This window comes from Homo sapiens, chromosome 2 (assembly GCF_000001405.40).
Source record: "Homo sapiens chromosome 2, GRCh38.p14 Primary Assembly".
Taxonomy (NCBI): domain Eukaryota; kingdom Metazoa; phylum Chordata; class Mammalia; order Primates; family Hominidae; genus Homo; species Homo sapiens.
The window spans coordinates 25,594,599-25,621,387 of NC_000002.12; the positions used below are offsets into that span (position 1 = coordinate 25,594,599).

The 26,789-nt window shown below is 38.1% G+C and overlaps 1 protein-coding gene across 31 annotated transcripts in view, besides 3 other annotated features; it reads right to left on the reverse strand.

Annotated features, from left to right (window-relative positions):
* DTNB (dystrobrevin beta) overlaps positions 1-26,789 on the reverse strand; it is a 296,335-nt gene that overhangs the window by 217,356 nt on the left and 52,190 nt on the right. For 25 of the 31 annotated variants that reach the window (NR_147180.2, NM_183361.3, NM_001351386.2 and 22 more), the window contains 2 exons: positions 12,638-12,723; positions 1,488-1,642 (listed from right to left, as the gene is read on the reverse strand). The exons of 1 other annotated variant lie outside the window; for it this stretch is intronic. Coding sequence is in view for 27 of the 30 variants with exons in the window: in NM_183361.3 (NP_899205.1) it covers positions 1,488-1,642; positions 12,638-12,723 (241 nt within the window). In the remaining 3 variants the exon portion in view is untranslated. The remainder of the gene's footprint in view (positions 1-1,487; positions 1,643-12,637; positions 12,724-26,789) is intronic. 5 more of the 31 variants (NM_001351393.2, NM_001351392.2, NM_001351381.2 and 2 more) reach the window with 2 other exon arrangements.
* Positions 7,249-7,298: a silencer, noted in NCBI's record as "silent region_11262". NCBI's record gives its function as "represses an Ori minimal core promoter by ATAC-STARR-seq in GM12878 lymphoblastoid cells {active_cell/tissue: GM12878}" and the evidence as "EXISTENCE:reporter gene assay evidence [ECO:0000049][PMID:35858748]".
* Positions 7,779-7,828: an enhancer, noted in NCBI's record as "active region_15462". NCBI's record gives its function as "activates an Ori minimal core promoter by ATAC-STARR-seq in GM12878 lymphoblastoid cells {active_cell/tissue: GM12878}" and the evidence as "EXISTENCE:reporter gene assay evidence [ECO:0000049][PMID:35858748]".
* Positions 9,980-10,213: a silencer, noted in NCBI's record as "fragment chr2:25827447-25827680 (GRCh37/hg19 assembly coordinates)". NCBI's record gives its function as "represses an EF-1alpha promoter that drives an FKBP-Casp9 reporter gene in an ReSE screen in K562 erythroleukemia cells {active_cell/tissue: K562}" and the evidence as "EXISTENCE:reporter gene assay evidence [ECO:0000049][PMID:32094911]".

Genomic DNA, 26,789 nt, shown 5'->3' on the forward strand with positions numbered 1-26,789 from the left:
TCAGGAGAATCTAGTTTACAACATCCTTTCAGTTCTCAAACTTTTAGATGTGTTCCTTTTATAGTTTACCTTTTTATCTTTAAATAATTTTCAGACTTACAAAAAGGTTCTAAGATTACCAAAAAATTCCCATTTTCCCTTAACCAAGATTCCTCAAATGTTAACACTGCAGAAGGATGCTCCTTTATCCTTAAATAGTTCAATTGTTTTAAAAAACAGGACATGCTCTTAAATAATTACGTACAAATATCAAAATCAGGAAGTTAACATTCATTGACATAATACTATGATCCAGTCTATAAACTTTATTCAGATTTTTCCAATTGTCCCAATAACGTCCGTTATAGCAACAGAAAATCCTGGCTTGTGAGTTCATTCAGCTTTTCATGTCTCTTTAAACTCTTTTAACCTAGAACATTTCATCTTTTTTAATCTTTCATATTATTGACACTTTTGAAGTGTAAAGTTCAGTTAGGTTGTAGAAATTCCTTCATTGGAGTTTGTCTGATGTTTCCTTGGGATGAGATTCAGGTTATGCTTTCTTGGCAGGAGTTACCGGAGAAGTGATATTGAGTACTTCTCAATGCGTCCTATCAGGAGGCAGGCGGTATCAGTTTATCCCTTTAGTGGTGATAGGGATTTTGATCACTTGGTAAAGTGATATCTGATCAGTTTCTCCATTGTAAATTTACTATGTTCTTTTTGTAATTAATAAATATCTTATGGGGAGATACTTTTAGAATATGTCAATATCCTGTTTCCATTAATTTTTTACCTATTAGTTTTAGCAAAACGTTTTTTAATTCCTTTACAGAACTTTCTAGGTAAGTTTAACATTAAGCTTCTTTTATCTAATCTCTACGTTAACAAATGGACGCTGCAGCCAGTGTCTATCCTGTGGCTGAGGCATGGACGCTGGCTGTAGCAACCATTTGTTAGGTGTAGACGGTTCTCTGAAGCATGGTTAAGATCTCAGAAACACACTCATTCCAGCCTCTCTGTCAAGACCACCAGAAGGAAATCAAATCCATCTTTTTCTAATATGAAAATGGTAGTGTACCCTTGAGGGATTTTATGCTGGCGAGTGAGAGCTATACAGCGTTCCCTGTCTCCAGCACTCAGGAAACAATGCAGTATTGTTACAGTTTTATATCAAAATTCCCTCATCTCATGGTTTCAAGAACTCATTTGAAAAAGTAATATATGTCCTGTAGCAAAAATGTACACACTTGTTCTTAAACATTTTTCTTTAAAATATTTCATTTTTTTCCAAAGACACCACCCCCCCACCCCCAGTTCCCCCGTAAGAGTTTTCAGGTGAATTTTTACCCCCCGCTTTTATTCATCCACTCCCCACCACCTTTAAAGCTTTTTTCCTCCCCTACTCAAGACCTTACTAGACTGGAAGCAATCTGGCAAAATCTGTTAGAAGGTGAAGGGAGGGAAGAGCGCTCTTCTAGCCCTAGATTCTATAAAACTGTCCTTACCTGCTGTGGAAAACAGGTGCGGACTGAGTGCTCTGTGTAACCAAAAGATGGCCCTTCAAAGACAGCTGTTGGGAGCTTCAGAACTTCCTTCAGAAACTGGTCAAACTTGCTAAATATCATTAAGCCATTGGAATCTGACATCTGGGAGAAAACATCTATGAGAACAAAACCAAATAAAGTCAAGCTATAAGGAAATATCAGCTTTTTATAAATGGCTCTATGTCATTTGTATACCAAACAAAAAGTATCATTAAAAAAGTATCATAAAATTATTGTGACTTTTAGTTAATATTAAAACTATTCTCATCCTTATTAACACTGTGTGGCTACCCTGCAGATGAGGCCCCTCTCTTCCACTCACTTAATATTCTACTTAAACATCAAATAACCATTCATGTGTGACTATCCTACTTTTGAGTGTTTAAAACTAGATGATATATAACTTTTATTTATTTATACCTCACTTTGTTCCAAGAAGAATTTGCAGCAGCATATCTTTATCTCTTAGTATCTCCACATGTGTTTATATAAGACATATGCATGATTGAGTATATAAATACATTAGCATCTTGGTGATAGGGTATGAAAGAAATTGTATTATACTTGTATATTCTATACTGATGATGTAATGCATGCCTGTGAAAGAACACATCTGAAGGAGCCATAGAGCATATTTAAAATATTTATCTAATGAGTTCCAAAGCAGAATAAAAGTAACTCATCTAAAGTCTTCTATTCCAAGACACTTTGATACTGTAAGACCCTATTTTTATATTAAGTCAGGTCAAGCAGATGAGAAAGAATCTTCCAGTAATATTACTCCAACTTTATCTGCTTGCAGGGAGTTCCTGTCTCCAATCATTCCTCTCTTCTCATCCACAGTTGGGGAGTAAAAGAAAACCAGAAGTCAAAAGAATTTAACAAAGAAATGTGACGTAGGCAGTTTTTCAATCTGTTGAACTTCCTTACAAACATTAGTAAGTCAAATATGCACAGAAAAATCATTTCCTGAGGACTTTTCAAACATAGCATTTTGAAGATTCATCCAGCCTGGGCAACATAGTGAGACCTCATCCCTACAAAAGAAATTTAAAAATTAGCCAGGCATAGTGGTGTGCACCTGTACTCCCAGCTACTTGGGAGGCTGGGGTGGGAGGACTGCTTGAGCCCAGGAGGTCAAGACTACAGTGAGCCGTGATGCCATGATCACACCACTGCACTCCAGCCTGGGTGACAGAGTGAGACCTTGTCTCCAAAAAAAAAAAGAAAAGAAAATTCATATTCTATATATTCACAGTGAAGAGGTATAGTAGAGATCTATACCTATTTAACAGACATATGTAATATACATACATGCATTACTTTTTGGATTCAATTTTGGGGAATTTATACTGAAGCATCAGGTCAAAAAAAATTTCTGAATACACTAATTAAAGAAAGATAAAATGTTAGGTTATTGATCCACAGGGCAATTTTTAAGGCATTAGAAAAGAAGAAATTACCAAAGGAATGAAAATCTTCAGTGTGTCCTCTCATGACAGCTGCTAGTTTACAGTTGATGGAAAAGTATTAAATACCCATATGGGGGAAAAAATCCAGCAAGAGACTAAAAGATGACCCTAGTAGAAAGTAAAATAAATTAATTAACAAATACATATTAAGTTCCTATTATGTGGTCCAAGTGCAAGCGCTCTGTTAGGTGTTTAGAACCATAACAGAGAAAGATGACAAATGGTCCTTATCCCCCAAGAAACTTTCAATGTAGCTGGAAAAATAAGATACACATGAAACAGAGAAGAATTTGAGCTGACAACAGAAAAAACAGAGGCAAAAAGATACATGATAAGCCCCACCATGTGCTAGGCGCCACTTCAGTTAACTATGCTGAGCTGCCAGTAGCCACATTATCCTCTTCTTCCTTAGTAACAGAACACTAATTTTATTTTGTGCAGTAATGTACCAACTAACAAGTTGCAAGTTCCCAGCAAGTAGCGGTCATGTGACTAACTTCTAGCTAAAATGAGCTTGTAAGCAGAAGGGTTGTAGGGGACTTCCAGAAGACTAGGTAAACAAACCTAACTGAGCCAAAAAAGCAGGCCACTTGTTCCTTATTCCCTTCCTCCTTCTTCTACCTGGAGTGCAGCTATGATAGCTGGAGCTCCAGCTGCCATCTTGCACTATGTGGTAATCTCAATCTTGATATAGAAATCACTCTAGAATGGTAGGGGAAAAAAAAGACAAAGTGTGAATCCCAGATGAACATGAAGTTACCATACTGGCCCTGGACTACCCACCTCTGGACTTCTTTTATGTGAGAGAAAATTAAACCTCAACTTTGTTTACGATACTGTTATTCCGGGTTTTTGCTCTCATGCAACAAACTCTAACACTAAGCATTACTCTACTATTACAGCTTAGAAAGGTTAACTTGCTTAAGGTCAAAAAGTTCAGAGGCCAAATCAAGTTTAAAACCACACCTATCTGACTCCAAAATAAATACCATTACACCACACTCCTTCAAAATATAATTTAGAATAGATACAAAAACACATAAGCAGGAATTGTCAAGTTCTAAAATAAAGACATTTGGAAGCTAGGCCTTGAAAGAGAGGATCTGGAATGATGGGGTCAAAACAGGTTGAGGATAGGGACTGGGGGGCACTAAAGAAGAGTAGGATAAAAGTCTATGACAGGAGCATGCAGCCTGTATCTCTTACCGGTGATAAGCAGGAAACAGGGTATTGAAGAAAAAATTCTACAACAGCCAATTTATAGTGAGAAAAAAAGAAAAATAAAGACTGAATAGGAAGAGTATTTCTGTTATAAAAGAAAACGATGAAAGAGGGAAGCAATCTGGATTTAGCTTAAAAACTTTTAAGTAGAGATCAAATTTTTAGAAAGCTAGGTTTCAAGGCAATTAGACTGTTAATGACCGGCACACAATGAATAAAAGAAAAAGAATGGAATTGGAGACACCAGCTAGGAAACCTTGTAAACAATGCACAAAGGAGGTTGTGGGGGAGCCTGGATTACAGCAGTGACAGTGTGTGCGGGGACAGGGGAGGCCAAGTCCAAGGCATTTCAATGCAAGGAACTGCAGTTGATGGCAAACTAGATTACGGAATAAAGGAAGTTTAAAAGTTAGGATTATTTTAAGTTTCTAGTTTGGGGAAATGATGACAAATCCTGATTGACATAAGCAAATCAAAGATAAAGATATTACACTTAGCTTTGAACATTACTGTTTGAACTAACTAGCAATTTTTTTTTTTTTTAGACGGGGTCTCACTTTGTTGCCCAGGCTGGAGTGCAGTGGTGTGATCTTGGCTCACTGCAAGCTCCACCTCCTGGGTTCACACCATTCTCCTGCCTCAGCCTCCTGAGTAGCTGGGACTACAGGCGCCCGCCACCATGCCCAGCTAATTTTTTGTATTTTTAGTAGAGACGGGGTTTCACCGTGTTAGCCAGGATGGTCTCAATCTCCTGATCTCGTGATGCACGCCTCGGCTTCCCAAAGTGCTGGGATTACAAGTGTGAGCCACAGTGTCTGGCCCAAACTAGCAAATTTTTAAGTGGAACTACCATGCAGACAGTTAGAAACAATATTTGACCACAGTTCTAGACTGCAGATAGAGAACTTTGAAAATGTTACCAATGATATGAATAAATGATGCTCTTCAAAGGAGGGAAGAACATAAATGATTTAACCTTTAAATAGCTGGCTGCTGGTCAGGCGTGGTGGCTCACACCTGTAATCCCAGAACTTTGGGAGGCCCAGGCAGAGGAGAATCGCTTGAGCCCAGGAGTTCAAGGCCAGCCTGGGCAAGATAGCAGGACCTTGTCTCTACAAAAAATAAAAAAAATTAGCTAGGCATGGTGGCAGGTGCCTGTACTCCCAGCTACTCAGGAGACTGAAGGGGGAGGACCGCTTGAGTGCAGAAGTTGGGGGCTGCAGTGAGCTCTGATCATACCACTACACTCCAGCCTGGGTAACAGAGCAAGACCCTATCTCAAAAATAAATAAATAGCTGCTAGTCTTACAAGGAGGAAAATAATCGTTCATTGAATCTGAATGAAAACAAAGGGTCAACATGGGAGGTGGCAGACACTGCCAGGTGCCTCAGTATCTTCTTCCCCTTCTCGCTCACTAGCTGAGCCCGACTGCTGGGAATGACTATGTGCCACTTAACGAATGACTTCTCAGCCTCCTTTGCACATTGCAATGCTGGAGTAGATGTCTGGAAAACCCTTTGCTTTCTTCATAGAGGCAACTCTTTCTTCCTTCTGCCTGGAGTAAGTACAGAGGCCTGGGATATGGCAAACATCTTTTGATCCTAAGGACGAAGGCCATATGGCAGAAGAAAGACGGGAAGAAGTGAAGTCTGTGAGGACAGCCATAAGTCAGGGTACCAACTTTGAACTTCTCAGCGTTTGGACTTATTTTTACATGAGAAAAATAAATCCCAATCTGCTTAAGCCACTCTCAGTCAAGTTTTCTATCGCCACTCTGTGTATTCATAACTAATTAACTAATGAGTAATTAACCTGTGGCCACTAGTGGTGGAAATATTCAGGACCAGTGACTTTAGCTTTCAAGTACATTAATATATATATGTATAGCTTCACAATCACAAAAATGTGTAGGTATACACCCACACCAACGAATCTATACCTAACTCATTCAGAGTAATAAAAAGGAGTGACTGGATAGTAAAATGACTAACCACTCCCACAAAAAAGTATTATTTCAGTTATACTTAGTTACTACGTCATATGAATAGATTCAAAGTAATACAAAATTTTTTATTCATAAGAAACTATAACAGGCCTATATTACAATAAGAGAAGTGGAAACATGTCTATTTGCTTTAATGAGACATACTGCTAGACCCCAAAACTGAAGGCACAGTGAAATAATTCATTACTTCTTGAGTTATGGGTTTAAAACAATTTTTTTGTGAATAGGCTTTTATCTCTAAGAAAAACAATTTAAAAATGATTGCTAATTCTTAAATCTTAAATGAAGTTTAACAATCAACCTAAGTTATTGTGATTTACCTATGTACATATAAAAGGATCTTATCAAAGAAGTGAATAAAATAATAAAATTTAATGAAAATATTTTAAAAATTAAACTAGTACTCTAATTAAATAAAGCCCTAAACCCTCCTGGTATTAAGGGACTAAATTACTTCCCACATCCCCAGTTAATTTCCCAAGTAATTCTCTTTCTATTTATACACCTCTGAAAGTATGCTAATTCCCTAACAGTTATTTCCAGCTAAAAAGGAAGCTTTCTCCCTTGTGAAAAACCCACAATCAAGCCCTTAAATGTACATGTGTATGCAATTTTTAAAATATTCTATAATATCTTTTGTGTAATAAGCAAAAAAATGCTAGTGAGCCACCATCATCACATATGTCTTGATTTTTTCCTGGTGATAATGACCCTAGTTTTACTGGCTGGATCTATCCATCTATTTCAACTCCCCTTTCATCCCCACATGACTAGCCACCTATTTTTTTTGCAGATGAAAGGGCTGTTTAGACTGAAGAAATGAGTCTATAAACAGAAAGCCATTTTCTTTTACATGTTTGCTTTCCCTGGCAAATGACTCTCATCGCCTGTCATCTTTCTACCAGCTCAGCAACCTAACCCACAAAACCATGCACACACATCTGTATGTTGATAAATACCTAAACACAACTAGGCCCGAGTGCATACTGTAGTTCGAAACTCATTAATATGCCACTGGCGGGGTGCGGTGGCTCATGCCTGTAATTCTAACACTTGGGGAGGCCAAGGCAGGTGGATCACCTGAGGTCAGGAGTTCAAGACCAGCCTGTCCAACATGGGGAAACCCGGCCTCTACTGAAAATACAAAAATTAGTCAGGCATGGTGGCACACGCCTGTAGTCCCAGCTACTTGGGAAGCTGAGGCAGGAGAATCACTTGAACCCGGGAGGTGGAAGCTGCGGTGAGCCGAGATCACACCACTGCACTCCAGCCTGGGCAACAGAGCAAGACTCCATCTCAAAAGAAAAAGAAAAAAGAAAAAAAAAAGAAACTTATTAATATGCCACATCATTAAGCTGCAATGAGGCTGGAGGGTGGGAGTCTGCATGCCTTGGGCTTCTGGTGTTGACTCAGCCAGGAACCACCTGAGACAAGGCTCCAGACCTCCTTTGGTTTTTGTTTTCCTTTTTCTTCTTTTTTTCCCCTTATTCATAAAATACATATTTAAGGCTTATCTTTTACTTCCTTCCATTTCTAAAACATTTTGGTTATCTGAAAAATGTAAATCTAGCCATCACTCATTTAGATTAAACAGTCACTTCCATCTACTGAGGAGAAGGGATGGTTAACAGAAACCAGTGAGGATAATTATGCAGCCATGGGTGGTTAAAAAACTACAGCAGAGGAGTCTAAAATCTGAACAGGTGAAACTGTTTAACTGTAACTTCAAAGGGAGGCCCTTCTACAGTCTGCTAATGAAACATGAAGGAAGCAAACAGTTGAAACATCAGTAGGAATAGTCAATTCTGACCAAAACAGAAAGAATCTCAGGTCATCTTTTCTCTGACTGCTGATAGTGTGGTCTATCAAAAACATGCAAAAAGATAAATAATATAAATTATTATTATAAAACCATTGTGTTAGAACCCAGAGAAAAACCCCTGTTATTATTTTGGTATATTTCTTATTTTCTATGTGCACAGCAAATTTTTGTTTAAAACTACATTACACTTATGCATTTTGATCTAAAACCTATTTTTAAAGGCATTATATTCAATCATGTGGGTGTCCCAAAATTTAACTGAGTTCTCACTTTTGGACACTAAAGATGTTTCCAGTTTTCATATAAGTGTTGCAATATACAAAAAACTTGGGGTACACTTCTGATTAATTCCTTAGGATAAACTCAAGAAGTAGACTGAGTGAATGAATATGAATCTTTTTAAAGCCTTCCTGATACATATTGTTGAACTGCCTTTCAAAATAGTAGCACCAGCTTTTTAACGAATTTTAAAATAAATTTATGAATCTTTTGCTCCTTTTAGTGCAACCAGATGCAATTTGAATAAGGAGACTAAATTTCTTCGAAAACAAATAGCAGAATTAAAGTAAATAAATTGCACAGTCAAATTAATTGATAATTAAGCATGTTTTAATACATAATGGGCTTTACAGTCTACAAATTTTGTTTCCTTGAGTTATATTTTGGGTTTCTGACATTACTGAATTTTGATTGTGCTTTTAATTAAAGTCCATATTCCGATTATAAATCATTGGTATTTAGAATCCTGATAAAAGTTACCTCCGAATCTAGGACATAGTCTCTAATGGCCACAACAATGAACCATCTCTGTAAATGAATGCTACCTGGAGACAGAAACTCTCTTAAGACAAATCTGAAAAATCTAAGAAATGTTTTAAACAGAAAGTACAAATATTTGTTCAGTCATTCAAATGCTATCTTGATACTAAAACCAAAAACCCCATGTCAAATAAAAAAGGTAGAGAGGAGAAAATCATAGGAAAAATTCTAAGAAAGTAAAAAGCAGGAAGATCAAAGCAGAAAAAAAAAAGTAGAAATGCTAAAACATTCCATAAATGAGAAAACTTAATATAACAGGAGCATTAATAGAGGTAACAACAGAGAGTCCAGTCAGTAGAAGGAGGTTGGAGCAAACAAGAAGAACCAAAACAATGGAATAATTAGGTATGAGAAAGTGAATAAACAATCAAAGATCATTTGCTGTTACAATACAGTGTTACTTCTCTCTTTTGGCTGCACAATTATTCAGCCACCTCAACTAAGTAGGACATTGCTGAGAACCAGAAAACAAGGAGGGAAAGGTTCTGAAAATAGCCAAAGCTAACAATCATACTACACAAGCTCAAGTGCTTCTCTCATAACAATCACTTTAAATCCTTATTTTAAATAGAATGCTAAGAGGTTTGGTTATTACTTCTCTGTCCGTAGCATATTAAAAGTAGTAAGTCAGAAGCAAGGAGAGATTTCCAGAGAGTGGAGCACCAAAAACACATAACATCATATTTGCCAGTGATAAAGGACATACACAAACCACTGCCGCCACCACCACCACCACCACCAACAACAACAAAAAACTCAAGAACTGAAAAAGCATAATAGTCTCAAAATAGGAGGAGTAGACAAACCAAGCTTCACAATCAGCCCTAAATCCTAAATGCATCAGAAAATGGCATCCTTAAGAGATGAAAATGTTAAAAGTATAATCAGTGAGTTCTCGTTTCTTTCTTTTCTTTTTTTTCTCTCTCTCCCTTCTTTCTCTCTCTCTCTCTCTTTCTTTTCTTGAGACAGTCTCACTCCACTACCCAGGCTGCAGTGCAGTGACATGACCATAGCTCACTGCAGCCTCGAACTTCTAGCCTCAAGTGATCCTCCTGGCTCAGCTTCCTGAGGAGCTGGGACCTCAGGTATGTACTGCCATGCCAAACTAACTTTTTAAATTACTTTTATTTTTATTTATTTATTTTTTTGAGACAGTCTCACTCCGTCGGCCAGGCTAGAGTGCAGTGGCATGCTCTTGGCTCACTACAACCTCCATCTCCTGGGCTCAAGCAATTCTGCCTCAGCCTCCCGAGTAGCTGGGATTATAGGCATGTGCCACCATGCCCAGCTAATTTTTGTATTTTTAGTAGAGACAAGGTTTCACCATGTTGGCCAGGCTGGTCTCAAACTCCTGGCCTCAGGTGATCCACCCCAACCTCCCAAAGTGCTGGGATTACAGGCGGGAGCCACTGCACCCGGCCTTAAAATTGCTTTTATAGATACACAGTCTCACTACGTTGCCCAGGCTGGTCTCAAACTCCTGGCCTCAAGTGATCCTCCCACCTCAGCCTCCCAAAGTGCTGGGATGACAGGCATGAGCCACTGCACCCAGCCAAGTTCTGTTTAAAATGGAAGGGGCAAGCCACATTTTAAAGTGTTTTCCACCTTGGAAGATTAAAAAGTAGAGATAGGCTTCCCTACCCAAGTATTTTACTTATGTTGAACATCTCAAGCCCAAGCCAAGATAATTACAGTACAACAAAAATAATGAAACAGACCTACAACTAGCAGAGAAACTATAATTTTTAGCAAGGAAAAGATAAACCACACTTGAAATCTACTTGAATCAGATAAACACAGTGATTGGTAACCCAGCACAGTCTGTATCACAGCCATCCAAACACTATTGCAATGACTTGGGGTCCTGAGCATGCTGACATGTCACCTTTGGCTTGGCCCGTGGGCTTTTGCACCACTTCAATCTTGGTCACTTCGTGTTCCTCCAAAAAGTTCAGAAGCCACATCAAAAAAACTGCTATCACCTGGATCCCTTCCAAACCGAGAACTAGAATTTGCGCCTTTTCACTAACAGTTATAACGCAGAACTGGAGTAATTTTATTATTCAATCAACAATTTACATTTGACAAAATTTTAAGTATTTACCATATGCCAGGTGAGCTGGCTCTATGTAAATATAGTAGACTTTAAAGAAATTTAAAGATTCCAGAGTCATCTAGAATACAGTTAATTTTCTGCTAATGTATTTTTCTACTACTGTATTTTTCAACCAGTCTCCCCAATATTAATAAAGATGGTATATATATTCTTTATCTGGTATCAGCATCATTAAAAATTAGACAAGACTACAACTTTTCTTTGTGTTTGATGAAATATACTTTCATACATATTATCTTCCTCAGAAAAACATATTTTTATATTTTACAAAAATATAAAAGGAATTTCAGCCCAAAGAATATTTTGGGATATACCATGTGAAAAACCTCAGAAGAATATTTAAATAAAACCATAATTCTTATTACCAAAAACATGTTCTATATTGCAGCTAACTTTGAAATGAAGATAAACTGGATAACAGTTGACCAAATACATTAAGATCTTTCTTTGGAATATCTAAATCTATATCTAATGGGCCATCTAGCTTTCCAACTTTCAGTGTCATGGTAAAGTAAGAAAAAGCACAAAAAACAAATACACCTATGAAGTAATCTTGCCGAAAAACTTGTATTAATACTTGAATCTGATCAAACCTCTGTATCTTTCAATTTAAAAAAAAAAAGGGCATGGAGGAATATTGCAAGGACTCAGTCATCCAAATCCGGGCTCACAGGGTACCACACTACCACACTACCTCATTAAGACTTCAGTCTCATCCCTTGAAAGCTGGCATCCAGTTTCCTACTCTGTGGCTACTGCTTTATGGCACTCTGAACACTGTACTGAAATTACACGTGTGTCTCCTGCTACAGCACTAGCACAGGGGAGCACAATCACATAGCTCAGAACAGGGCTCTGACATCTGAGTTAAAACCCCAGCTTTGCCCCCTTGGTTAACTCATCGATAAAATGAAGAAAATATCACCTGCTGCTCAAAGGAATTTTAAGGATTCCATGAGAAAATACATGTAAAGCACCTAGCACAATTCTTGGCATATCTTAGGGAGTTAATAACTAATAACTGAATAAATAAAAACCATAAGCAGCAAAATTAAATAGTTGTGAATTTCATCTCTTTTGATTTCATCTAATCACCTTCTTATAGTATCTAATGAATGGTAAAATGCCAAAATGACTAATGGTTAAAAAAAAATTAGCAAAGATAACAGGAATTTTTTTAAAAAAACAGGTCATCAGCTTCTAAATAACTGTGGCTGACTCTAGAGTAGTAAGGAATAATGTAATCACAGCAAACATCACCTGATGAAGAATGGAGTTATTAAGAGCTAAACCAGACCGAACTCAGTAAAAGCAATCAAATTTACTTTAACTAAAAGTTCTCAATATAATCATTTTCAAGCATAATTTTAATAATGTGGAAAACATTTCTAAAATAAGTTTTTAAATGTCAGCATTATGATTCTGAGTCTTTTCCATTTTCTCACTAAAAAGGACTAACAATAAATTAAATTAACCAACTTTTCCATCTGAACAGTAGGTGGCATAACTCACCTACTGTGAGCCAGCTGCTGCAGCGTGAGTGACATGGTAATTTTTTTAAAAGCTCAATATAACATCATTCAAAATTCTGACAATATTCATTTAAAAGTCCTAATTTGAAAATGGCATTTTTCAAATAATATGAAAATACTTACATCTCAATTTGTCCAGCATTTTTCCACCACACATGGTTGCTAACATAGCTTTAACTGAAAATACCGTCAACTTGCCTCGGCCCTCACTGCAAAATAAATTATATTAGAAATAATTGCTATCTGAAACCACAAAAGGACTCGAATGTATCACTAAATACTGAGCAACCCAGTAAGTTGATTCCTGACCTTGTCTGTTACAATTTTACCACATTTAGAAACCCTGGATTTTTTTTTTTTCATTTGTAGAATTAAGACTTCACCTATGCTAGGTGAAGAATGCTAAAGCTAGCCTGAATTTTCTGGAAGTTTTAGAAACATTCTATGTAATTTCTGTTGGCTATGTAGCAGAGGTCAAATGGATGAACCTGAAGTGAATTTCCTATTAATTAAACCCATTAAATCCACAGCTGTAGTTCTTAAGTATTCAAAACTGAGGGGCCACCTGGTTTGAATATAATTCAGAAACATAACCTTACATCAGGATATTACAACAATGGTTTCTTGTTACATACTAAACAACAGGGTGCATCTTACTATGAAGATTTTATAGTACATTCATCTTTGTTTTTACTGTAACAACCTTTATGTTACCACGTGTTTATTCTAAGAAGCTCAATCACACCTGTCTCAGATCTTCTAATACACCACTGTAAGAAAAGTGAAGAGGAAGGGATAGTAACATTAATTCTTCTTTAGGAACTGGAAAGACGAAATGTAGAAGAACATAAATGAATCACCTAAGGTAATGCTGCACACCACCAGCAGAACCAAGACAATATCACCGAGGCCCCTGACCCAAAGTGTCCACGGCTTCATTCACTCAACTATGCCCTGGTTTCACAGCAGATAAAAACTTCACTAGTTGGTTGTTAAAGTTATCACAGGTAAGCCAAGAATGTGCTTTTTGTGTTAATTTTTAAAAGCTTGTGTTCACAATGTTTCATTGTAACTTAGAGTAAAACACTTTTGCAATAATGAGAGCTATACCTTCTTTGTTTAGAAAAAGAATGTATCATCCTATTTATATCCACAATGGTTCTAATACAGTGTTTCCCATTTTCCACACTGTCTTTATATACAGAAAGATCACACCTGAAAAAAGGCAAATAGCCTATACGCTAGAAAATTATCTGTGAAAACACCACCAGGAAATATCAATATTTGTTACAGTTGAGCTTTTAACTATAACATCTCCTTGAGTTTATTCATAAAACAAAATAGGAATGACTGCAACTAGCTAAAATTAGAATGGGGTTTTTAAAATATATTGTTCTTCAGAAATAAAGATACAGCTCCATGTACAAAGCAATATGGCACCCATAAATAAGGCATATTCCTGCATCAAATATCTACTGCATTATGTAAGAAAAGCTAGTGGTTATAAGATAGATCATTAGGTTAAAAGGAATGGGTTTCTAAGACTGATACAGAGCTTTTACAGTGGACTTTCTTTTTTGACACCAAGCACTTGAAAGCTGAGTCTACATTTAAGCACACCCTACCTTATGGGACAAGTAGACTTTCCACTACTAAAGTACAAAGAAGGAAAAAAAAACATATATTTGCTTTCTCATCTTTCTCTGAAACTAGGATAGGGGCACATAACAGAGCTCCACCAATAAAATGCACTATGCTAGATTTCAAGGGGGTAAATATTAACTTGGAGAAGCAGGAACTCCAGAAGAATCCACCTAGTGGGGATGGCAGCAGTAGGGGCAGCTACATTCAGTGTTCTGGGGCAGCAGAGATAATGATTCTTGGGGCAGCACCCAGAGCCCAGCATCAGTGGTGTTTGGAGCACAAGCAGCAAGGTCTGTGGCCAGAGAGGTGTCTTCATGAGAGTTCTGTGCAATCATTTTGCACTATGTTCCTAGCAGTGTAGTTTTCAAGCCTACTTTCCCAACCTACTTACAGAATCTGTGGGTCACCCTTTTAATTAATTAGCCAGAGATGGTATCTATTACTTACAACTAAGAACTCTGATGGATACAGCTTCTAACCTGAAGTAAAGTGGCCCACAAAGATGAAGCAACAAAAGAAACTATTGCTGAAGTCCAGAGTGGGATTAAGAATGCCTGATGGGCCGGGTACAGTGGCTCACGCCTGTAATCCCAGCACTTTGGGAGGCCGAGGCAGGCAGATCACCTGAGGTCGGGAGTTCAAGACCAGCCTGACCAACATGAAGAAACTCCGTCTCTACTAAAAATACAAAATTAGCCAGGTGTGGTGGCGCATGCCTGTAATCCCAGCTACTCAGAAGGCTGAGGCAGGAAAATTGCTTGAACCCAGGAGGCGGAGGTTGCAGTGAGCTGAGATAGCATCATCTCTTGTTGCCTGGGCAACAAGAGCGAAACTCTTTCAAAAAAAAAAAAAAAACTTGTTATATATGTTGCTATGCATAAACATTTCCATAATAGAATGTACACACACACACACACACACACACACACACACACACACACACACACACACAAAATTAAAAATACCAAGGCTTAGGCCCAACCCTTAGAGATCCTAATTATTTGGCCTAGGGTGGGGCGTTGACACTGGTAATTCTTAGGAGTTCCCCAAGTGATTCAAAACAGCCAGAATTGAGAACCACTGACCCAAAACAAATCAACTTTATAAAAAGAAAAGAAAAAAAGACACAAGAGAAAAAGGGAAGCTGCATTCACATACACAAAATAGACATGGAAGAAATACAAATGACTATTAAGTGCATGAAAAGACACTGACCTTAATTAATAATAAAAGGAACAGAAATCTCAAAAATAATGAGATAAATTTTGTAGATGTCATAAGTTACTGTTTCCAAAGACTGTCCTCAGTCTAAGCAGTGTGAAGTCTGACTTAGGTGAACTATATTTTTTTTGTTGTTGTCTTGTTTTGTTTTGAGACAGGGTCTCCCTCTGTCGCCCAGGCTGAAATACAGTGGCGTGATCACAGCACACTGCAGCCTCAACCTCCTGGGCTCAAACAATCCTCCCACCTTCGCCTCCTGAGTAGCTGGGACCACAGGCACATGCCACCACACCTGGCTTGAAAGATTTTTAAAGAAATAGTTTAGCTACACTTCCTTTTATTTTGTAATGTAATATTTATCACTTTCATAATTGATTACTTTTTAAATGATCACTTTAAAGAGAGAGAGAGTATATGTGCCAGGAAAAAGTAAGTAATCTCTCTGGTTTTATATAATTTTAAGCTCTAACCATGATCAACGATTATGCCTTTAGTTAATTCTGTATGGTATCCTTTTTAACTTTTCATTAAAGTATAATGAACCTATAGAAAAGTGCATAATTCATGAATGAACTTTCACAAAATGTTCCCTCATGAACATTTAAAGTTCACTGAATGAACTTTCACAAAATAAATACCCAGGTAACTAACCAGCACTCAGGTCAAAAGACAGAACATTACTAGCACCCAGAAGCACCTCTTTCCTAAACCCACTTCCCACCGTGGTAACTTCTATCCTTTTTTTTTTTTGAGACAGAATCTCTCTCTGTTGCCCAGGCTGGAGTGCAGTGGTGTGATCTTGGCTCACTGTAACTTCCACCTCTTGGGTTCAAGTGATTCTCGTGCCTTAGCCTCCCGAGTAGCTGGGATTACAGGTGCACACCACCATGCCCAGATAATCTTTTTATTTTTAGTAGATACAGGGTTTCACGATGTTGGCCAGGCTGGTTTAGAACTCCTGACTTCAGGTGATCCACCCACCTCGGCCTCCCAAAGTGCTGGGATTGCAGGCGTGAGCCACTGCACCCAGCCCAGTAACATCTATCCTGACTTCTAGTATCATAGGTCAGATTTGGCAGCAATTGAACTTCATACAAATGGAATCTTACAGTATGCACTCTTTTGTGTCTGGCTTCTTTCACTCAACAAAATATCTACAAGATTTTTTATGTTGTTACATATATTAGTTCATCCTGCTATGCAGCATTCTGTTGTATGAATATACTGCATTTTATCCATTCTCTTACTGAGGGATATTTTCAAACTCTATATTTTAAACTATTCGATGAGCAGGACAAACAAAACATGAGTCACTGCCTATACTATAGGTACAAATAAATACTTGTTGACTTATTGATATTCCTTACTAAAAGAAAGAAAAAAAAGCTGCTTGTGGGTAAAAGTGAAACCAGTGGCACAAGAACTGATAACATTCTAAGGATTATATACAATCAGCCCTCAGTATTCATGGGCAATTGTTTCCAGGACCCCTGCAGATACCAAAATCCACGGATATTCAAGTCCCCTCTAGAGTTGGCCCTCCATATCCATGGGTGTCTGAATCCACACATGGGAATCTGCAGATACAGAGGGCCAAGGGTACTGGCAATGCTGAGGAGTTTGAAAATAATCTAGAGGGAAAAGCACAGCACCTTGGAAATGCCTTCAAGAAGAAGTCCGTCCTTAGGATCCTATCGACTTCTAAAGTGATTATATCTGGGAACTGTGGCGCATGCCTGTAGTACCAGCTACTCAGGAGGCTGAAGCAGGAGGATCACTTAAGTCCAGGGGTTTGGGACCAGCCTGGGCAATACAGTCAGACCTCATCTCTAAATAGAAAAATAATACACTAAAATAAAGTGATTAATGTTGGTCTAATACTTAATAAAGGAATTATTAAGAAAATAAGTCTGAATATCCCTGGAGTTATTTGGATAGACCAAGCAGAAGAATTAATGTAATTCTTTCTTTCTCTCTATACCAAGTAGGCCCTTTATCAAGAGACAGCACATTATCTAAACACAGAAAAAGGAGAGAAATAAAGGGGGTAGAAAACTGTTCCATTCTTTTCACATGGAATTTACACACTCGAGAAGCCTAAAATGATGTTTTTGAATGTGCATATTCATAGTCATTTTTTGCAGCATGTTTCTAATGGCAAAAGACTGGAAATAACCAAAATGTCCATTAATAGTGAAGACTGCTATCACAAAAAGAATAAGAAATTATATATGAAAGACAGAATCATATGCAAGGCAGACTAAGGGGAAAAAAGCAAGGTATAGAACAAAATAATTGTTAGAAGGTTATCTAACAACTATGTTAAAAAAGAGAGAGAAAAATAATATATTTGTTTGCATATGTATAAACTATATGTGACAGGATATTGAGAAAATAACAACACTGGTTGCCGCCAGGGTGGGAAGAAGACAGCCTAGAGAGAGGAATGAAATGGTGGGTAATTTCACATTGTAAGTATTAAAAATGCTTATACTAGAAAAGAAGAAGGTTCTCAAATCTAACCCTCCAACTTAAGACACTAGAAAAAGAACAGAAAATTAAACTCAAAACAAGAAAAAGGTGAAAAATACTATAAATAAGAGCAGAAATTAATGATGCTGAAAACAGAAAAATAGAGAAAAATATCAATAAAACCAAAAGCTGCTTCTTTGAATGGATCAATAACAATAGAAATCTCTTGCCAGACTGACTAAGAAAAAAAAGAAGACACAAATTACCAATATTAAGAGGGGATATCACCACAGGTTCTACAGACATTGCAGAAATAATAAAGATTATTTAAAAACCTTTATGTCCATGAATTCAACAACTTGAATGAACTAGATATATACAGACTACTCCTTGAAAAACACAAACCACCAAAGCTCACTCAAGAGAAACAGATAAACTGAATAGACCCATATCCATTACAAATTGAATCTACATTTTAAAGTCTTCCAAAAAAGAAAGCTCCTCATTCTGAAGGCTGTACTGGAGATCTCTAAACATTTAAAGAAGAAAAACTGCATTTCTACTCACTCTTCCAGGTAATAAAAAAAGGGAAGAAACACTTCCCAACTCTTTTTATAAGGTCAGTATTATTCTTTTTTTAATAATTTCAACTTTTATTTTATTCATTTATTTATTTATTTGTAGAGACAGGGCCCCATAATGTTGCCCAGGCTGGTCTCGAACTCCTAAACTCAAGTGGTCCTCCTGCTCTAGCCTCCCAAAGTGCTTGGATTACAGGCATGAGCCACTATGCCCAGACCAATTTTTATTTTAGATTGAGGGAATACACGTGCAGGTTTATTACATGCGTATATTGCGTGATGCTGAGGTTTGGGGTATGAATAATCCTATCACCCAGGTAGTGAGCACAGTACTCAACAGTTAGTTTTTCAACCCTTGCCCCCTCCCTCTGTCCCCACTCTAGCAGTCCCCTGTGTCTACTGTTCCCATGTTTATGTCCATGAGTACCCTATGTTTAGCTCCCACTTATAAATGAGAACATGTCGGTATTTGGTTTTCTGTTCCTGCATTAATTTGTTTAGGATAAGGGTAAGGCCAGCATTATTCTGACACTAAAAACAAAGACATTACAATAAAAGACAACAAGTCAGTATCTCTAATGAACATAGTTACAAAAATCTTGAACAAAATGAGCAAATCAAATGTAGGAAAAAAAAAAAAAGGGACAGGCCGGGTGCAGTGGCTCACGCCTGTAATCGCAACACGTTGGGAGGCCAAGGTGGGCGGATCATGAGGTCAGGCGTTTGAGACTATCCTGGCCAACATGGTGAAACCTTGTCTCTACTAAAAATACAAAAATTAGCCGGGCGTGGTGGCGCTCACCAGTAATCCCGGCTACTCAGGAGGCTGAGGCAGGAGAATTGCTTGAACCCAGGAAGTGGAGGTTGCAGTGAGCTGAGATCATGCCACTGCACTCCAGCCTGGGCGACACAGCAAGACTCCGTCTCTAAATAAATAAATAAATAAGGACAAAAATCACAACCCAGGGAGCTTTATCCCAAGAATATAAGGCTATTTTGACATATGAAAACCAATCAATATAATTCACTATCTCAACAGACCAAAAAGAGAGAAAGGCGATACGACCATTTGAATAGATGCAGAGATGACAAAATTCAACATCAATTCCTGACACTCTCAGAAAACTCAGGAAAAAAAGAGAATTTCTTCCATGTGACAATGGGCATCTTTAAAAATAATCATGGTGACCATCATACTCAGTGAAGAAAGACTGAGTGCTTGTCCCCTAAGATTAAGAACAAATCAAGAGGACTGCTCCCACCACTCCTTGTCAACCTCACACTGCAGAACCCAGCTGGTGAAATAAGACAAGAAAAATAAACAAAAAACACATTAGAAGTAAAGAAATAAAACTGTGTCCATTCCAGGCAATATGATCATATGTAGAAAGCTATAGAACTACTAACAACACTATAATAAGTGAGTTTAACAACATTGCAGAATGTAAGGTCAACATAAAAAATTCAATTTTATTTCTCTAAACTAGCAGAAGACTATTGGAAATACAACAGCAACAAAAATATAAATAATTAAATAATATTTTTTAAAAGCATGTTCAAGATCTGTATGCTGAAAACTACAAAATACAAATGAAAGAAATCAAAAAAGATTTAGAGAGATATACTATGTTCATAAAATGGAAGGTTCAGTGTAATTTAAATGCCAATTTTCTCTAAACTGCTCAGAATCCCGTTGCGATTCAATGCAATCCTCTAAGGAGATGGAGGCGGGGAAAAACAAAACAAAACAAAACTGTTTTTCCTACTCTCTTACACAGCAATTCACTCTGACACCAGATGCCTCGGGAGTTATTTCCCCACACACCAAGCAAGCAATTCTCCAGCAGATAACAGCTGGATGTCTATAATCTGATTCAAGTCCGACACCATTTACCTGGAGATAGCATCAGATCCCACAGGCTGAGGGCTCATTCCCGCAAGACTGCTCCCCACTTCAGATATCAGTAGCAAGTAGTAGGCTGTCACCTATACTTCTGACCAACGAACTATAAAATTGCGGTTCCCATGACCCTTCCTTGGACTGATTAGTTTGCTAGACTGGCTCACAGAACTCAGGAAAACACCTATATTTAACCACTTATTTATGAAGGATATTATAAAAGATACAGATGAACAGTCAGATGGAGGAGATGCATAGGGTGTGTTTTACGGGAAGGGGCACACAGCTTCCATGCCTTCCCGAGGTGTGCTACACTCCAGGAACTTCCACCTGCTCAGCTATCTGGAAGCTCTCCAAACCTAGTCCTTTTGGGTTTTTAATAGAGGCTTCATTACCTAGGGGTGACTGATTATATCTTTGGCCACTGGTGATCTGCCTTCAGCCCCTCTTCCTTCTTGGAGGTTAAGGAGTGGGGCTTAAAGTCCCAACTCTCTAATCAATCACATGATTAGCTCCCCTGGCAAACAGTCTATATCCTAAGAGTGGCCTCCTTAGGACAAAAGATGCTCCTATCACTCAGGAAGTTACAAAGGTATTAGGAGTTCAGTGTAAAGAACTGCGGTCAAAGTCCAAATACTAGAACAAAAGATTCTACCACCTATCTACAAGGGGGTATCAGGAGCTCTGTCTCAGGAACCCGGGCAGCGATCAAACGTTAGAACAAAAGATTCTCCTACAACCCCTATCACTCAGGAAATTACAAGGGTCTCAGGGGCTCTGTGCCAGGGACTGAGGGCAGACCAACATGTATATTTCTTATTATTTCGCAAATCCCAATTGAATTCACAAAAGGGTATTTCCGTAGAAATCAACAGGATCATTTCTTGTGTATTTTTAGAGTTCTAAACCCATACAAATCCTCAATAAGGTATGAGAATAAAGATACTATTCAGATGCCTAAACCCCATCCTGTTCTTATGTTGAAAAAGTCCCTTGTGCTATTTTCATATGCATCCAGAGCTGAGAACCACCAACATAGAGCTTTGAATGCAAGAGTAAGACTTTAGCTTTTATTTTGTTGGCAGTGATAAATCAAAGGACATAATAAAAGATTACAGAAAATTAATCACACTGCAGTTGTGTAAATCTTTCTGGCTCCAAATCTCTCCTCCTTCAAAGAGACAAAACTGTATCTATTCCTTGCTGCAGAAAAGAAACTGTTGCTATCTATGCAGACAGACAGGAAAGTGTGGCAGAGTCCAGCACACTAGCAAGAGAGCCAGGTCACACTTGCAACTCTTCCTGAGAAGAGACTTACCTCATTAATACCCATCCATAAACATTACACAATGGATCTTCATGGGTACTATGATATCTTTACTTCTATATATTATAATAATTAGCACTTGTACAACATTTTCTTAATCTTCAAAATGTTTTTAGAAACACTAATATTTTACAACACTTTGCATCCTTATTCAAAATATCCTTTGACTCAACCCTGTTGTAAATATTAGTCCTAGATTCAGAGACTCTCATATTCAAATACAGAATAACAGATATAATTCTCAATTAACCTGGATCAGCACTAAAACACTTGTATTTTTCCATTCATTAAGATTATTATTAGTCTCAATGGCTGGTCTCCGATGAAAGAATCTGTTAATTTACAGAATAATCTAGATCAGGCTATTTATAGTAAAAAAAAAAAAAAAGACTTGGCCGGGCGCAGTGGCTCATGCCTCTAATCCCAGCACTTTGGGAGGCCAAAGCTGGTGGATCACGAGGTCAAGAGATCGAGACCATCCTGGCTAACACGGTGAAACCCCATCTCTACTAAAAATACAAAAAATTAGCCGGGCGTGGTGGCAGGGGCCTGTAGTCCCAGCTACTCAGGAGGCTGAGGCAGGAGAATGGCGTGAACCCAGGAGGCGGAGCTTGCAGTGAGCCGAGATCGCGCCACTGCACTCCAGCCTGGGCGACAGAGCAAGACCCCGTCTCAAAAAAAAAAAAAAAAAAAAAGGAAAAAAAAGACTCATTAACCCCTCAATTAAGTATTGCCAGTAATGTGTGGTCCCTTAACATACCATCTCTGAGATCCACTGTTTAACCATTTTTCTTATTCACAACAGCCACGTAGAAATCTCCACACATAATCTCCCACCCAACAAACTACGAATCTTCTCTTCCCTCCACCTGTATGCACTTTCAGGTGAACAAATGTATGCGTGCTTAACATCACAGGCTTTATTAAGGGTCAGGGGATATGCACCAAAGTGTCAATCTGTAACTCAACAGGATAAACAGACTGTATAAGCACAGTGGAAGGAGTTTTAAGTTCAGGTAAAAGTAGAGGAATCTGAGATTAAGGATCATAGTAAATGTGAGCGGGATGAATTTACAGACAGGAGAGATTTGGCGAAAATACTTAGTGAACCTTTATGTTTAAGAATACATTCATAAGTTAAGTATGCATCCTGAGAATGGGGCAGTGGGCTCGAGGTGTTAATTATTAACCCTTCTTCCCCATTCAAATCACTTTTCATTTACCACTTTAGGTTCACAGTTAGTGCTATCAAAAGGTTTATACACTCTTCAAAAGGAAATATTAATATAAACAAAAATATACACAAAAGTTATAATTGTATATTTAAATACAGTTATAGAAACTTATTAAAGAAGCCAGGCGTCGTGGTTCACGCCTGCAATCCCAGCACTTTGGGAGGCTAATGCAGGTGGATCACTTGAGACCAAGAGTTTGAGACCAGCCTCAAACTGTATTAATAAAAATACAAAAATTAGCCAGGTGTGGTGATACGCGCCTGTAGTTCCAGCTACATGGGAGGCTGAGGTAGGAGAATCGCTTGAACCCATGAGGTGGAGGTTGCAGTGAGCCAAGATCACGCCACTGCTCTTTGGCATGGGCAACAGAGCAAGACCCTGTCTCAATAAAAAATTTAAAAAGAAACTTATTAAAGATACCTACTTTAAAATTCCAGTATAACTTGGCATAAAGAAATAGTTATCCGATAAAATTAATGAAGGGGTAGTCTCAACATCCTTACTTCCACAAATCACGTTACTTATATTTTTCCCTTCAAAAAGAAAAAAAACTTAGCTCTTTTCTCTCAATTGTTTGCTTTGCAGGCCAAACATCAGCAGTGACTCCTCTGCACAGAATGCTTTTCTTGGCACTGAAACCCCTCAGTCTACTTTAAGCCTAACTTCCTACAACTGCCTCTAAACAAGGCCAAGAGGAAGCATTACTTTTGCTTTTCTAATGTTTCTTTAGAGCCCCAGCATTCTTCCTCTACAACTAGAGGCAAGCAGAGAGAAAACTGCAGCTCCTCAGCACCCTGATACCGCCCGACTTTGTTCTTTATCTAACTGATTCCTTCTTCTTGGAAGAACTCATTCTTGATCCTTCCCACGAGACATCTGAAATTATTCTGTATACACTGGTCAAGTTGAAACTGAATAATTAGCTGCCAGTGGCCACAGCACATGTCCTCACCAATGTCCATGTTTTCACTACTTCCAATGTAAAGTCCAAGTTTATACCAGAATCAATTCTCTTCAAACAAGATTTGGAAATGATATTTAACCTGGTTTCATCACAAATAATGTTACTCACTTCAAATCTGGCCTATGATAGCTACAGAGTTGATTGGTAGGTCAACATTTGAAATATAACGCCATTAACAGTGAATACGAACCCCTCTATCAAGACACTAAGATGAAAAGATAAACAGGTAATATTTGTTGAGATGATAAGACAGAAGAAACTTGTGATTTTAACCCCACTCAAATAGAAGCCCTCCAGGGAATGTCCTCCTTCAGTAAGGGACATGATGATCCCTTTCTCAGCCTTCTCTGCATGATTCATTTCCATAGCCCTATCATTTTACAGTCTGACAATAAACTATGCATATGACTTCTAAAAAGAGTTATTATCCAACACTGAGAAAACACCATTATTAGCTCTGTGCCAAGCTAAGCAGACAATGAGTCACCCTGAATAAACGCTGTTATGTTTTAACATGCAGGTACCTTCTGAAGCCTCTGAAGTCCCCACCTGTTCCCTGTGGATGGGAAATCATTCGTTTCAGTTCAATAAGGTCTCAAATTCTGTCTTTCAATATTTAAAACTAACCAAATCTGGATGACGTTTCTAGCTTTACACTATCTAGTAGGAGTTTGCTATTCAAATTAATACTTTTGAAAACAAGACTACGGGTAGTATTTTGTACTTAACACAAGCTGTTTCTATCTCTTTAGCAAATGATTGTGGATGCTGCCAACCACAAATTTCTCACACGGAAACAAACTTCAACTTCAGAAACACTATTACCAGTCCGATTATCATATGTAGCTAAACGTAATAAGAGCATCTCTCTTTGATTTTCAAAAACTCGCATTCTGCCAATTAATCTTAATTTACAAAACTTCACAGTGAATGGATGTTGCAATAATCAACTGCAAATCAAGAATCCATTTGGCAAATGTCAAACAGCTTTAATCAAGTAAAATCAACTTAGAATATTATTCAATTTTATCACAATCAGAATGCCTGCTGCTTTTCATTTCAATCTTATAAACATTTATAAATAATCTAGCATTATACTAATTGAGGAATGAAAGAAATATAAAGCAGAATCTCTGCTCTCACGGACATCCATTCCATTTTGAACACTTATGAAGCAGTTTACAACCTTATGTAATTAAAGGCCAAAATAATAATATAAACAAGAACTGTAAGTCATCAAAAGGATGAAAATGGGATTGGTGATAATAAGGCAGGCTACATGGTAGGTAAAAACTTGGGTTGAGGCCGGGTGCAGTGGCTCAAGCCTGTAATCCTAGCACTTTGAGAGGCCGAGGTGGGCAGATCAGGAGGTCAGGAGTTTGAGACCAGCCTGACCAACATGGTGAAACCCCATCTCTACTAAAAATACAAAAATTAGCCAGGCGTGGTGGTACACACCTGTAATCCCAGCTACTCAGGAGGCTGAGGCAGAAGAATCACTTGAACCCGGGAGGCGGAGGTTGCAGTGAGCTGAGATCGCGCCACTGCACTCCAGCCTGGGCGACAGAGTGAGACTCTGTCTCAAAAAAAATAATAAAAAAAAAATCTGGGTTGAATTCTCAGAAATAGAAAAGATTTGGACAGAACAAAAGGAGACTGGGTAATCCCAGACAGATGTGGGAGCTGAGGGGGAACAAAACGCATGGCATCTGTCTGGGGAAAATGAGCATGTCATATTGGAAAAGAAGAGCGTCTCCAGGAGCGTAATTAGAGGTTGGTGTGGGCAGGGAGGTAAGCAGTGTTATCATTAAACCAACGGAGGAGTGTGAGCTTAATTCAAAACCACAGGGATTCTCTGAAGGTTTCTGAAGTGGGAAGTTACATGATGAAACAGTGTCTTGATCAGATTAATTTCGAAGTGAGGTACTGAATGGACAGGAGAAGTCTCTCTGGACTTGTTACTACTTCTCTCTGTTTCAGAAGAAAACAAAGGCAAGGAAAAAGAAACACACTCAGAATAAAGCATTCCTCCTGCCCTTTCTTTTAAAAAAATAAATGAAAAGCACAAAAGAATAAACAAAAAAAATTTTCTGAAAGATTAGTTAATGGTAAAACCCTTTGCAAGTCTGCATATTCTGAATTCAGAAGATTCTTATTTGTAAATTAGCACAAACTCATGACTTCTGTTGGAAGAAAAGCTACAAGATAAAGAGTAAGTAAGTGATGGATGGCCAGGTGTGGTGGCTCATGCTTGTAAGCCAAGACTCTGGAAGGCCGAGGCTGGAGAATCCCTTGAAGCCAAGAGTTCAAGACCACTCTGGGCAACAAAGCAAAACCCTGTCTCTACAAAAAATAAAAAATAAAATAAATAGCCTGTTCACACTGAGAAACAGCTCTGAAATTTTAAAAAGCAAAAGAAAATAGCCAGGCATGATGGCACGCACCCAACAGTCCCAGCCACTCCGGAGGCTGAAGCAGGAGAACTGCTTGAGCCCAGGAGTTCAAAGTTGCAGTGAGCTATGATCATGCCACTGCACTCCAGCCTGGGCAGCAGAGCAAGACCTTGTCTCTTAAAAAAAAGAAAATTTAAATGTGCTACAACGGTGGAAAATCTTCCCACTCAGCATAGGACTCTGATCTTACTTGGCTGGCTTTTTTCTTATGATCCTGAATCCTTCTAAAAACAAGCAGGGATGTAAATAAATACTGTACACCAACATATGAAATGTCTGTGCCTCCCAGGAAATTACAGTTTTGTTTAAAAATCACTAATGAAGAAGACTGTAACCTAATATTATCTTTTATCAGCAACATCCATTCCATAACATGCTAGGCTGGGCAGATTAAGAATTTATGGAAGACATTTGCTTTTATTTGAAATGGACTGGTTTGTTTCTGCTTTGTTTTGTATTGTTTTGTTTTAAACATTCA